At 35.4% G+C, this 14,342-nt stretch overlaps 1 protein-coding gene across 5 annotated transcripts in view; it reads right to left on the bottom strand.

The window, feature by feature from the left end:
• DYNC2H1 (dynein cytoplasmic 2 heavy chain 1) overlaps window positions 1-14,342 on the bottom strand; it is a 370,438-nt gene that overhangs the window by 243,832 nt on the left and 112,264 nt on the right. For all 5 annotated transcript variants that reach the window (NM_001080463.2, NM_001377.3, XM_017018291.2 and 2 more), the window contains 5 exons: window positions 13,879-14,002; window positions 12,946-13,067; window positions 4,686-4,772; window positions 1,872-1,998; window positions 219-360 (listed from right to left, as the gene is read on the bottom strand). In NM_001080463.2, coding sequence (NP_001073932.1) covers window positions 219-360; window positions 1,872-1,998; window positions 4,686-4,772; window positions 12,946-13,067; window positions 13,879-14,002 — 602 coding nt within the window. The remainder of the gene's footprint in view (window positions 1-218; window positions 361-1,871; window positions 1,999-4,685; window positions 4,773-12,945; window positions 13,068-13,878; window positions 14,003-14,342) is intronic.

The following is a 14,342-nucleotide window of genomic DNA, read 5'->3' as shown; positions in this document are numbered from 1 at the left end:
GAATAGAAAAATCATATTAATAAAGCAAATTCAAGAACATTTGTGGAATTCAGCAAATCTAAAGTAGCTAGGGTATCCTTGGAACCCATATAAAATTTCCCCCATTTAAAAAAGGTAAAATAACAGAGAATAAAGGGTCTATTTTTAGTATATTGAAATTTTAAATTCAGGAATAACTAAATACAAACTCTCAAGATCAGGAATAACTAAATACAAACTCTCAAGACCAGCTGACTTGGTCCATTCTTCCAAACAGGTTTTTCTCAGAGATTCAGGAGCAGCAGAAAGATATGTAATAAATGCAGCAGCAAGTTGAGCTCTTTTAGGAAGAGTAGCTAATTCCTCTGTTATCTCTACAACCTGGAAAAAAGAGAGAGAAGAAAGAGGGAGATATATGAGTATGTTCTAACATTAAAGAAAATGACAGTTTTATGGTTTTGACTGTGAGGGGGAAAATCACAGGTAATAACTTGTTTTGAATGTAACAGTCAAAATGTAAAAATATCAAAAAGATCTCAGACTCTGCTGTGATATTTTTTAAAAGTATAAAATCCTAATATATTTGTAGAAACAAACATATTTAGTCATTGAAAGTTCTTAACGATTTTAAAGAAAGCAGAATTTTCATCCCAATCACAGTTAAATGTGAGTTTGCACCACTTTGTAAACTAAGATTAAGACACAGAGAATGAACAAAGGGACAAAACAAAGCTACAGCATGAAGACCCATTAGCAAAAAGGTTATTGTAAATAAAGCACAAGATTCAGCAGAAAGAGTAGTTATATTAAAGGAAAGAAGAGAGATAGAGCTAATTAAAGGCAGATTGTGAAAGGTTTTCCACGACATGCAAAGGAATTTCTATTTTAAACTGTGACGTGAGCCATTGAAAGCATTTAAGCAAGCAATGAGTAATGTAATCAGATTGGGTTTTATAAAGATAATTCAGCTGACAAATGAAGGGTGAACTAATTAAAGGGTCAGATAGGAGGATACATTAAAAAAGTCAGATGAGAAATGAAAAGAAATTGGCATTAAAGATAGAAGACAAATATAAAGAATATTTGCAAATTGATATGACAAGTAAACAGGGAAGAGTCTAAGACAACCCACATGTTTTTAGTATTGATGCCCAAAGAAAGATGCCTCCAGTGAAACAGAAAATAAAGGAGACTTGGAATAAGAAAAAGAAAATAATTTAGACATGTTGGGTTTGAGTTCCTCAGAGACAATTAAATGCAAATGTCTAATGTATAGTTGGAAATACACATTTAAAACTCAGTAGTCTGGAAATGTAGCTCTGGTCATTATGAAGGTGTAGGTGATATTATGAAGGGATGAGATAACCCCCAAGGCAGTTGCAGAAAAAGCTGCTGTGGAAGAGAATAACAAGGACAATCAACATTACTGGATGAGCAGATGAGGAGGATCAGGAAAGGAAAGGAAGCTTAACTGATTTCAGAAATAAACCAAGAAAAAACAAGAGACAACACTAAAAAGTCAAAATAATAAAATATTTCAAGAAAAAATAAATAGCCAACAGTGTCAAATCCTAAAATTACTGTCCTGGTGAAGGTAAATTCAAAGAAAATTCTAAGGAGTACTAAGTTTTCCATCCACCCATTTTCATCCTGCTCATCTCTCATAACATACGGAACTGAAAGGAAAATAGGCTGCTTTGCCTAAAAATCTATTCATATAAAGACGCTTTGTTTAAAGAGTAATTCACATAATGGCCATTTATATCCAGATTATTTATCCTGAGCCAGGTGCAAATTAATGGATCTTTCTCTCCTTTTTCTTAACATACATTACATTATAGATTTCCTGCAGTTTAAAGGTAGACTCCTCATGGCCCCTCTCTCAAACAAACCTGTGCATTCCATCTCTTATGTTCTCTGTCAAGCTGATTAATTAAGACTTCTGCAGCTTTGATTGTTTCTTGTGCCTTGCTTACTTCAGCCTCAAGTTTGGCAGCTTCTGAAGTCCTGCTCTGAAATCTATGTAAACATTAAAATTTAATTAAAAGCAAAAAGGATTTGGGAGAGATTTAATGAAATTATCCATAGGTAATAAAGTAAACTTTTATGCCATAATTTAATGATAATACTATTAATGTTTGCATACAAAGTATCATTAATAGAAGAGACAAACCCACACACACACACACACACACACACACACACACACACACACACACACATAAAGTGTAGCATTCTCTACCTCAAAAAACTTGACAGGGCCTCCGTGCTGTACTGCATTATATAAAAATTTGCCAATACGGCATTCAAGGCACTGTCCTAAACATCCCATCTGTCTTTCTAGTTTTATTTCATTATATTACTGATCAGCAAAACCATTAATATATGTCAATATCGGAAGAATTTTACATTATCAGTAAATATCCTATCCTTCATCTCCAGTGTTCTTCAGAATGTTCCATTTGCCTAGAGTATCTTCCAACCACACCCTTCCTCACCCCACAGCCCAACCCCCTCTAACATCTACCACTAAAAATACAAATAAAATTTCAAAATTCATTTTAGTACATTATATATAATCTCTCCCTATATTCATTGATCTTTATGATTTTCTTTTTAAATTATTTTCCTTGAAAAATATGTGTGTGATTTTATTAAATGTAATAGTAATATTTGACATGATTATTTAGTCATTCAACAAATATGTGTAAGTGTTTATAATATGCCCAGGGTGGTGCCAAGCATCAAAAAAAAAAAAACCAGCATTTAATTCTCCAGAACAGTTCCAGTTAAGTATTATAAATCTTATGCTATACATATGTAAACTTAAACCCAAATAAATTATTTCTCAGGTTCTCATCAATAATCAGCAGAGGATCTAAAATTCATATACAGATGTGACTGGCATTAAGTTGCATGTACTTTACAGTATATTTCATTGTCTTTCTAAGTGCCTTCTTCCTTCTTTCCCTAGACATAAGACTCTAGAACCAATTTGTCCAATATGGACAAATAACCACTAGCCACTTTACGGCTATTTAAATTTAAATTATTAAAGATAAATAAAATTTTAAATTCAATTCCTCAGTCATATTACAAACATTGCAAGTGCTCAGTAACTGCATATGACTATTGGCTACCATACTGGATAAACACAGAGCACAGAACATTTCCATAATCTCATGAAGTTCCATTAAACAGCACTGTTCTAAAACCTGGAAATGGAAAGCTGCATCTTTATTGACCACAACATTTCATATTACACCTTGAACATGGTTTTGCAATGAATATTTGTTGCATTAAATCAACTCTCATATCTCTGTATAAGTTGTATTAGAAATGGAAACCATCTCTTTAATTTTGTAAAATTAGAATTTAAAAATTGATAGATCATGCTTATTTTTCAAGTCCTTTATTCTTTGTTGATGTATAAGAAAATAAGACTGTTACTCATGGCCTAGAGTCAATTAAACCTTAATTAAGGATCAGTATAAGTAACAGCATGGTAACCAACATTAATTCATTCTCAACAATGACTCTATAATGAAAAATGTCATTCTGTTTTATTTAAAATTAAAAGTTAATTCCAAAAGTTCTTATAATAATCCTTCCAAAATAATGGTAGTATGGTGCAATGGTTAAGAGCAGAAACTTTATGGAATTAGACAAATCTAGTATCTAACATGGCTTAGTATTTTACTAGCTGCTCAACTTCAGACAAAAAAGACTATATAATTTTAACCTTCCTAATCTGCTAAATAGAAATAGATTTACTTCTCATCATTGTTTTAAGGATTAAAGAAATAAATACATAAATTACCCAGTATAACACCTAACACAGCAAGTGACTAATAAATGAAGTCAAAACATTGCCATAACAAGCTAATTATTCAATAAATATTTGAGAATTAGCTGAATATTAAGTGCTGATTGTGAGCACATGACAGTGAAAATAATACATTATACTTATTTTTCTTATACTTCTCTAATAATACCTGGAAAAAATGATGTGAATTATTTCCTATATTTCTAACATAATTGTTCAGGAATATTGAAAACACTGGGTTTATTGGTTTGGGGTTTTCTTTTCGGTTTGATTTTTTTCTATAAGTATTTCTCTATAAGTATATATTGGTGAGACAGAAAGAGAAACTGAAGAAGAGAGAGAGGGGGAGAGAGAAACACACACACAGAGAGAGAAAATTGTTTCCTGAACGTAGAGAAAAAATTCATAGTTTTAATCTGAATAATTTCTTGGTAAAATAATTAGTTTTGCTTCCATTAAAAAAGGAAGTATGATACATCACTTCAACATACACTGTATTAAATCAGATATTATTCAGCTTTTCAATCTTCACAACTTTTAAAAGAAAATGTTCTAACATTTATAATTCCCATACCAATATTTTCTACCCTGTACTAAATGGGATACATGAAAGGCTTTAAAACTAATATTCAAAAATGATCCTTAACTTGAGTATAACATTTGCATGAAGAAATTTTTTTAACACAAAAGAGAAAAAAGTTAAAAGGATAGAATTTTTAAACATAATAATGTACCCTTAAAAAGATTATAGACTACTGGGTCCCACAGCATCATCTGACATAAGAGTCTAAATCTTAAAAGTCAAAACAAGAAAGAAATCAAGATGTCAAATGTAAACACTCTCAGCATTATCCAAAATACACTTCAAAATATAACTTACTTTTCTTTGAGTTCTGATACCTTTTGACCAACAGAATTAAGAAGCTCCTCTAGTTTCCTTTTTCTGTCTTCAGTTTTCTTCAGATTCCTAAAATATAACTCAATATTATACAAGTCATTCTATTTTAGATATCAACTATAAAGCAGCAGCAGCACCTTAAAATGTAATCATATGACAATTAAAACTGTCAGTAACTCAGTATTATAACACCTTTACTTAGAATTTAATTTGAAAAGCAACGCTAAAATTAGAAGTGTTTCCTCTGACCCAACTATACCACTTCTAGGAATTTATATTTAAAAACACTCATACGTGTAAATTTCTGGATAAAAATGGTAAACATATTTATTTATCTTCTATCCCTTCTAGAACCCTACTAAAATGAAGCCAAGAAAATAAGAAAGATACATATGCACAGAGATCAAAAGAGGAAAGTATGAAATAGGAGAAATTTCAAAAATAACTTTCTTTTTTTAAGAGACAGAGTCTCACTCTGTTTCTCAGGCTAGAGTGCAGTGGTACGATCAGAGCCCACTGCAGCCTCAAACTCCTAGGCTTAAGCAATCTTCCCACCTCAGCATCCTGCACCCTCAAAGTTCAATAAACTTTTAAAAAGTAATAACTAACATACCGGAACGCAAAAAGCCAAAAGCTAAAATGCCTATACAAAGAGGAGCCAAAAAAAGCAGAATCCTAAAATGTTCAGAAAATGTACAGATACTTATGAAGGTAACAATAAAGCTAAATACAGAAGATTATTTAATAATTGATATTACAAAGAGTTGGACCTCAGAATCCATCCTCTATTGAGAGCTGACTACCGCTAATAAAACCCAGAATGCTGCAAGTCTAGCTTATGCCCTTACTCATCTCCATCAACCTCTATGCACACATCCTAGGTGAAAGATAAAAAGATTCTTTTACAGTAAAATGACTGACACCTTATCCTCTCAAAATACCCACAAATATTAAGGGGTTGCCATAAAATGGCCAGTCCATATTTGATCGCCTTACAGTGATGCTCAGCAGCCAAGGAGCCCAGGCCACACACTCAGGGCTTCCAGTCAGACTTCTAAAACTCACGATTAATAACTAACAACCAAGGATCAGACAGGTCAAGAAAGCTTCCTAACTCCCTAAAAATATGGGGTAACATACAAAACACTGGGAATCAAAGTAGCATTAGACTTTTTAAAAGCAACACTGAACTCTAGAGGAGAGTACAGCAGGGGTTCTCAAACTTCAGTGTACACCAAAATTACCTGTCAAAACAGAGATTGCGAGGGCTTACTGTCCCCTCCCCCTCAATATATCTGAATCAGAATCAGTTAGTTTGGGTGGAGTTTAAAAATCTGCACTTTTAACAAGTTCCAAAGTGATGCTGATGCTGCTGGTCTAGGAACCAAATTTTGAGAATTACTGCAATAGAATAAGGCCTTCAAAATTGTGAGCTAAAACTATTTCTAGTCTAGTATTTAAACACAACCCAATTATTGATCACATACAATAATATATTATAGACACTTTTAGACATGCAAATCTCAAAATATGTTCCAGCCCATATACTCTTTCTACCATGGAAGATGTGTTCTAGAAACCTGAAGAACTAAAGGAAGGAAGAGAAAGACAGGAATTCATAATAAAAGAATACAATAGGTAATCTCTAGAACAATGCTGAAGAGAAGCCCCAAGACAACAGCCTTAAGCAGCAGGCCTAAAGCTAAGAAAAAATAAATAGAACACACAGATCAATGAAGATGTTTCAGGGCTCTGACAGAGAAACTGTGGATAAATTTGTGATACGTAAACAGAAAAATATAATCAACTAAAAAAAGGAGGCAATTCTTATATTAAGAAGCAAAAAGTATACAAGAAAGGAAATAAGATGAATAAATTTTAATACACAGTATGAAATTAATAGATAATGTCAAAAATTGAACAATCAAGAATATAAGTCAATTAGGATTAAGATGACAGATAGCAAGCAGGACTAGCTTGCAGCTCCCACTCAGACAGACAGAGGAGCATGTGGAGACTTACATGGTGAACTTTCGCTGCAAGAACTACTGCAGGAACATACTAGGAAAGCCAAAAGAATCCACAGACCCTTTGAAGGAACTGGGTCACCACTGCAGGCTCCCTGAGATACCAAAAAACTTAAGTCCGCTTGCTTTCTCAACAGAAGGCTCATGGTCTGGGGCAAGTTCTCAGCCCTGGTCACTGGCTGCCTGGAAATACATTTGGTGCTGTTGGGGCATGGTGGGAGTGAGACCAGCCTTTAGGACTGCAGACTACATAGGAGGCCGGTGAGGCCTGTGCCTGCTGGCTTTCCCCCACTACCCTGGGTGACCTGCATGACTCAGCAGAGGTAGCCATAATCCCCCTGGGAATATAATTACATTGGACTGGAAACCACACCCCCCTCCCCCACAGCAGCCACAACAAGCCCCACCAAAGGAGAGGCTGAGCTCAGATACATCTATCCCTGCCCCCACCAGGTGTTCTTTCTCTACCCACCCTGGTAGCCAAAAACAAAGGTCATAATATCTTGAAAGCTCTAAGGCCCTGCCCACCGCCTGAGAAACCTGAAGAGTTAACCAGGTGTCCCTAGGGCAAGTTTGCATCCTCCCTATAGGACCACAGCTGATGCACTCTTGAAAGGGCCACCTCCTGGCTGGAGGCCAACCAACACAAAACCAGCACACTAAACAAAAACACAACCAATGACCATCACAGAGTTCACTTCATTCCCCTGCTACCTCCAGTGGAGCAGGTGCTGGTATCCACAGCTAAGATACCTGAAGACAGATCACATCACAGGACTCTGTGCAGACACTCCCCAACACCAGCCCAGAGCCCAGTAGCTCTGCTGGGTAGCTAGACCCAGAAGCGCAAAAACAATCACTACAGTTCAGATCTCAGAACTACCCATTCCTAGGGGAAGGGAAAGACCATCACAGCAAGGGAGCGCCCCATGAGACAAAAGAATCTGATCAGCTGCACTTGAATCCCAGATCTTCCCTCTGACATAGTCTACCCAAATGAGAAGGAACCAGAAAAACAATTGTGGTAATATGACAAAACAAGGTTCTTTAACACCCCCAAAATATTATACCAGCTCATCAGCAATGGATCTAAACCTCCCATCTCAATACTAACACTGAACGTAAATGGCGTAAATGCTCCACTTAAAAGATACACAATGGCAGAATGGATAAGAATTCACCAACCAAGTTTCTGCTGTCTAAAAGAGACTCACCTGACACAATAAGGACTCTCATAAACTTAAGGTAAAGGGGTGGAAAAACATATTCCATGCAAATGGACACCAAAAGTAAGCAAGAGTAGCTATTCTTATATCAGACATAACAAACTTTAAAGCAACAGCAATTAAAAAAGACAAAGAGGGACATTATATAACGATAAAAGGACTAGTCCAACAGGAAAATATCACAATCCTAAACATATATGCACCTAACAATGGCAGTCCCAAATTTATGAAACAATTACTACTAGACCTAAGAAATGAGATAAACATCAACACAATAATAGTGAGAAACTTTAATACTCCACTGACAGCACTAGACAAGTCATCAAGACAGAAAGTCAACAAAGAAATAATGGACTTAAACTATACCCTACAACAAATGGACTTAACAGATATTTACAGAGCATTCTAGCCAATGACAGCAGAATATACATTCTATTCATCAGCACATGGAACATTCTCCAAAATAGACCATATGACAGGCCACAAAACAAGTCTCAGTACATTTAAGAAAATCGAAATTATATCAAGTACTCTCTCAGACCACTGTGGAATAAAACTGGAAATCAACTCCAAAAGGGACCTTCAAAACGATGCAAATATGTGGAAATTAAATAACCTGCTCCTGAATGATTGTTGGGTCAACAATGAAATCAAAATGGAAGTTGAAAAATTGTTTGAACTGAATTATAATAGTAATACAACCTATCAAAACCTCTAAAATACAGCAAAGATGGTGCCAAGAGGAAAGCTCATAGCATTAAATGCCTATATCAAAAAGTACGAAAGAGTATAAATAGACAATCTAAGGTCACACCTCATGGAACTGAAGAAACAAGAACAATCCAAACCCAAACCCAACAGAAAAAAAAAATAACGAAGATTAGAGCAGAACTAAATGAAATTGAAACAAAAAAAATACAAAAGATAAATGAAACAAAAAGTTCATTCTTTGAAAAAATAAAATTGACAGACCATTTGCAAGATTAACCAAGAAAAGAAGAGAGAAGATACAAATTAGCTCAATTAGAAAGAAATGGGAGATGTTACAACTGACACCACAGAAATACAAAAGATTATTCAAGGCTACTATGAACACCTTTATGCACATAAACTAGAAAACCCAGAGGAGATGGATAAATTTCTGGAAATATACAACCCGCCTAGATTAAACCAGGAAGATATAGAACCTCTTAACAGACCAATAACAAACAGCAGGATTGAAATGGTAATTTTAAAATCTTGATGGATTCACAGCTTAATTCTATAAGACATTCAAAGAAGAATTGGTACCAATCCTATTGACACTATTCAAAAACATAGAGAAGATGGGAATCCTCCCTAAATCAATCTATGAAGCCAGTATCACCCTAATATCAAAACCAGGAAAGGACATAACAAAATAAGAAAACTATAGACCAATATCCCTGATGAACACAGATGCAAAAATCCTCCACAAAACACTAGTGAACCAAATCCAATAGCATATCAAAAAGATAATCCACCATGATCAACTGGGTTTCATACCAGGGATGCAAGTTTAACATACGTTAAGTCGATAAATGTGATACACCACATAAACAGAATTAAAAACAAATATCACATAATCATCTCAATAGACACAGAAAAAGCATTTAACAAAATCCAGTGTCCCTTTATGATTAAAATCTTCAGCAAAATTGGCACAGAAGGGACATACCTTAAGGTAATAAAAGCCATCTATGGCAAACCCACAGCCAACATTATACTGAATGGGGAAAAGTGGAATGCATTCCCCATGAGAACTGGAACAAGAGACAAGGATGCCCACTTTCACCACTTCTATTCAACATAGCACTGTAAGTTCTAGCCAGAACAATCAGACAAGAGAAAGAAATAAAGGGCATCCAAATTGGTAAAGCGGAAGCTAAACTGCCAGTGTTTGCTGATGATACTATTATATACCTAGAAACCCCTAAAGACTCATCCAAAAAGCTCCTAGAACTGGTAAATGAATACAGCAAAGTTTCAGAACATAAAATTCATGTACACAAATCAGTAGCTCTGCTATACACCAACTGCAACCACACTAAGAATCAAATCAAGAACTCAGCTCCTTTTACAGTAGCTGTAAAAAAAAAAAATACTTAGGAATACACCTAACCAAGGATATGGTTACAAACAAATGATACAAACAAATGGAAACATATCCCATGCTCACAGATGGGCAGAATCGATATTGTGAAAATGACCATACTGCCAAAAGCAATCTACAAACTCAATGTGATTCCCATCACAATACCACCATCATTCTTCACAGAAGTAGAAAAAACAATCCTAAAATTCATATGGAACCAAAAAAGAACCTGCATAGCCAAAGCAAGAGGAAGCAAACAAACAAATCTGGAGGCATCACATTACCCAACCTCAAACTATACTATAAGGCCACAGTCACCAAAACAGCATTGCACTGGTATAAAAATAGGCACATAGACCAATGGAACAGAAGAGAAAATCCAGAAATAAACCCAAATACTTACAGCCAACTGATCTTTCACAAAGTAAACAAAAACATAGAGTAGGGAAAGGATGCCCTATTCAACCAATGGTGCTGGGGTAATCGGAAAGCCCCACGTAGAAGAATGAAACTGGATCCTCGTCTCTCACCCTATACAAAAATTAACTCAAGATGGATCATAGACTTAAATCTAAGACCTGAAACCATAACCATTCTAGAAGATAACATCAGAAATACCCTTATAGACATTGGCTTAGGTAAAGACTTCATGACCAAGAACCCAAAAGCAAATGCAACAAATACAAAGATAAACAGACGGGACTTAATTAAACTAAAATCCTTCTGCATAGCAAAAGAAATAATCAGCGGAGTTAACAGACAACCCACAGAGTAGGAGAAAATCTTCACAATCTATACATCCAACAAAGGACTAATATCCAGAATCTACAACAAACTCTTACAATTCAGCAAGAAAAAAACAAACGACTCCATCAAAAAGTGGGCTAAGAACATGAATAGACAATTCTCAAAAGAAGATACACAAATGGCCAACAAGCATATGGAAAAATGCTCAACATCATTAATTATCAGAGAAATGCAAATCAAAACCACAATCCAGTACCACCTCACTCTTGCAAGAATGGCCATAATAAAAAAATTAAAAAAGTATAGATGTTGGCAGGGATGCAGTGAAAAGGGAACACTTTTACACTTTTGGTAGGAATGTAAACCAGTACAACCACTGTGGAAAACAGTGTGGAGATTCCTTAAAGAACTAAAAGTAGATCTACTCTTTGATCCAGTAATTCTACTACTAGGTATCTACCCAGAGGAAAAGAAGGCATTATATGGAAAAGACACTTGCACACGCATGTTTGTAGCAGCACAAATTGCAATGGCAAAAATATGGAACCAACCCAATGCCCATCATTCAGCCAGTGGATAAAGAGAATGTGGTATATATATACCCCACGGAATACTGCTCAGCCACAAAAAGAAACAAAATAATGGCATTTGCAACAATCTGGATGGAATTGGAGACTAATATTCTAAGTAAAGTATCTCAGGAATGGAAAACCAAACATTGTACGTTCTCACTCACGTAGGAGCTAAGCTATAAGGACGCAAAGGCGTAAGAATGAGGCATTGGACTTTGGAGACTCGGGAAAGGGCAGGGGGTGGCAAGAGATAAAAGACTACACATTGGGTATAGTGTAACACTGCTCAGATGATGGCTGCACCAAAATCTCTGAAATCACCACTAAAGATTTCATTCATGTAACCAAACACCACTTGTTCCCCAAAAACCTATTGAAATTTTTTTTTTTAAAAGAACATAAACCTTTGGGTCTGCATTTAGAACAAAAGAGATAAAATATATTTCTGACTTAGTAACGATAGCAAATTAGAACCACAGCTCTAATAGTAAGTGGTTAAATCTTCCTCCTACCTGCCCACACACTGTTTTGGAAAATACATGCTAAGCATTTCCTAGAACTTAGAAGGTAAAAACAAATACAAAAGCCTTAAATTTCCAGCAAGGCACGGTGGCTTATGCCTGTAATCCCAGCACTTTGGGAGGCGGAGGTGGGCGGATCACTAGGTCAGGAGATCGAGATCATCTTCGCCAACATGGTGAAACCCCTTCTCTACTAAAATACAGAAAATTAGCCAGGTGTGGTGGCACATGCCTGTAATCCCAGCTACTTGGGAGGCTGAAGCAGGGGAATCACTTGAACCCGGGAGGCGGAGGTTGAAGTAAGCTGAGATCGCGCCACTGCACTCCAGCCTGGCGACAGAGCAAGACTCTGTCTCAAAAAAAAAAAAAAATCAATAAATAAACATAAAAGTCTTAAATTTCCAAAGCTTTCCTTTCGTACTTTAACATTATTCCTTGGCCAGGCGTGGTGGTCCACACCTGTAATCCCAGCACTTTGGGAGGCCAAGGCAGGTGAATCACCTGAGGTCAGGAGTTCAAGACCAGCCTGACCAACATGTTATTTTAGTCTCTACTAAAAATAACAAAATTAACCGGGCGTGGTGGCACATGCCTGTAATCCCAGCTACTCGGGAGGCTGAGACAGGAGAATCGCTTGAACCTGGGAGGTGGAGGTTTTGGTGAGCCGAGATCACACCACTGCAATCCAGCCTGGGCAACAAGAGCGAAACTGTGTCTCAAAAACAAAAAACAAAAAACGACAACAACAAAAAAAATTCCTTTATGAAACTTTGGCTCCTTCTAAAGGAACTTTTACCTAGCCTTCCAACAATATAATAATGGTAAAGAAAAAGTGAGTTGGTTCTTCTCTCTCCTTCTAATTGCTTTCTTTTTTTGATCTGTTTTTAAATTTGTCTTTAATTGACTCATTCATATATTTTAGTATTGTCAACTGCCATTTTACAAATAGAGAAAAAATAAAAATAATAATTATTAAAACCTCATCAAACTGATGAAAATAAAGGTTAGAATTGTTTATATTTTATATTTCACTTACGATTCTAATCCTGCCTGTTCAGTTTCCAAAGGATGAATTCGTTCCAAGACATGGGAATACTGAATATTGGCTTTCACCCAGGCAGCCAAAGGTGCAGCTGCAGTACTGGCACGCTTAGCATTCTGAAAAATCCATGAGAAGTGATTCAACATCCTTACTTAATTTCAAATGAAAGCAAAGTTAATTCTAACACACTTTATTTGGGCACTTATTAACTTGACCCAAATAAAGTAGTTTTTTGGCTTATAGCTAAAATAAAAATACAGTGAACTTCTATTTTGATTAAAAGAAATATACATGAACTCTATTTTCACTTAAAAATAAATTTTTTGAACCACACAGAATCTTTAAATTAAAGATGTTTTATCAACATAATTTTCTATTAGTCACATTTCTAATGAATACATGTGTCATCCACAACAATGTTTGAGCATCAATTCTTTTTCTTCTATACATGTGATTTATCTTTATTAGATAAGAGCAGCTTTAAAACTATTGTAGTTGGTGTTAAAGAAGATGTACATAACATTTTGATTAAGGGATCTAAAAAAATACCAGAATCATGAAATCTAAATTGTTCACTGAAATTAGATACCACTGTCCTAAAACAGATACCTGTTGTTATCTGACAAGTACACAAGAAAAAATAAAAGCATACCAGGACAGTTGAAAGCTTAAAAAAAAAGCTGAGAACATTAACAGCAGATACAAAACTATTAAAACCACTCAAGATAATAAATCTCCCCTGCTACCTAGATTCTAATTTACCTGATTCTGATGGTTAATGCTTCCCAAGTGTAATTCCTATAAGCTTATTTTTTATTTTCATTTTTAGGTGATCTAAACAGTTGGCAATGACAAAGCACCACATTTTAAAAAGCAGAATATTATATGGTATGGAAAAACAAATTTATAGTATAACTTAAAAATTACCTTTGGATCAAAAGAGCCTTTATTTTTAAAAAGAAGTTCTTCAACACTCTCTCTTATTTCCTTTGAAATATTTCGGGCATCAAAGGTTGCTATGTCTTCTCTTACACCTCTTTTTGCAAGGAAACTAAAATTAAAGCATATTTCCTTAAATGAGGCTAAATAAAATTTGCTGTTTCTGAAAAAAAATCAGTTTAACAAAATGGTGTATGCAATACTTTTAATCCATTAGTTAACAAAAATATGGTATTAAAACCTTTAAGCTTCTAATGTATTATCCTTATTTTTGTTTGTTTGATTTGAGACAGAGTCTCGCTCTGTCACCCAGGCAGGAGTGCTGTGGTACAATCTCAGCTCACTGCAATCTCCACCTCCTGGGCTCAAGCGATCCTCCCAGCTCAGCCTCCCAAGTAGCTGGGACCACAGGTGCGTGCCACTACACCAGGCTAATTTTTGTATTTTTGGTA

Source organism: Homo sapiens, chromosome 11 (assembly GCF_000001405.40).
Source record: "Homo sapiens chromosome 11, GRCh38.p14 Primary Assembly".
In the NCBI taxonomy this organism is placed as follows: Eukaryota; Metazoa; Chordata; class Mammalia; order Primates; family Hominidae; genus Homo; species Homo sapiens.
This window is presented reverse-complemented; position numbering and strand designations above follow the sequence as displayed.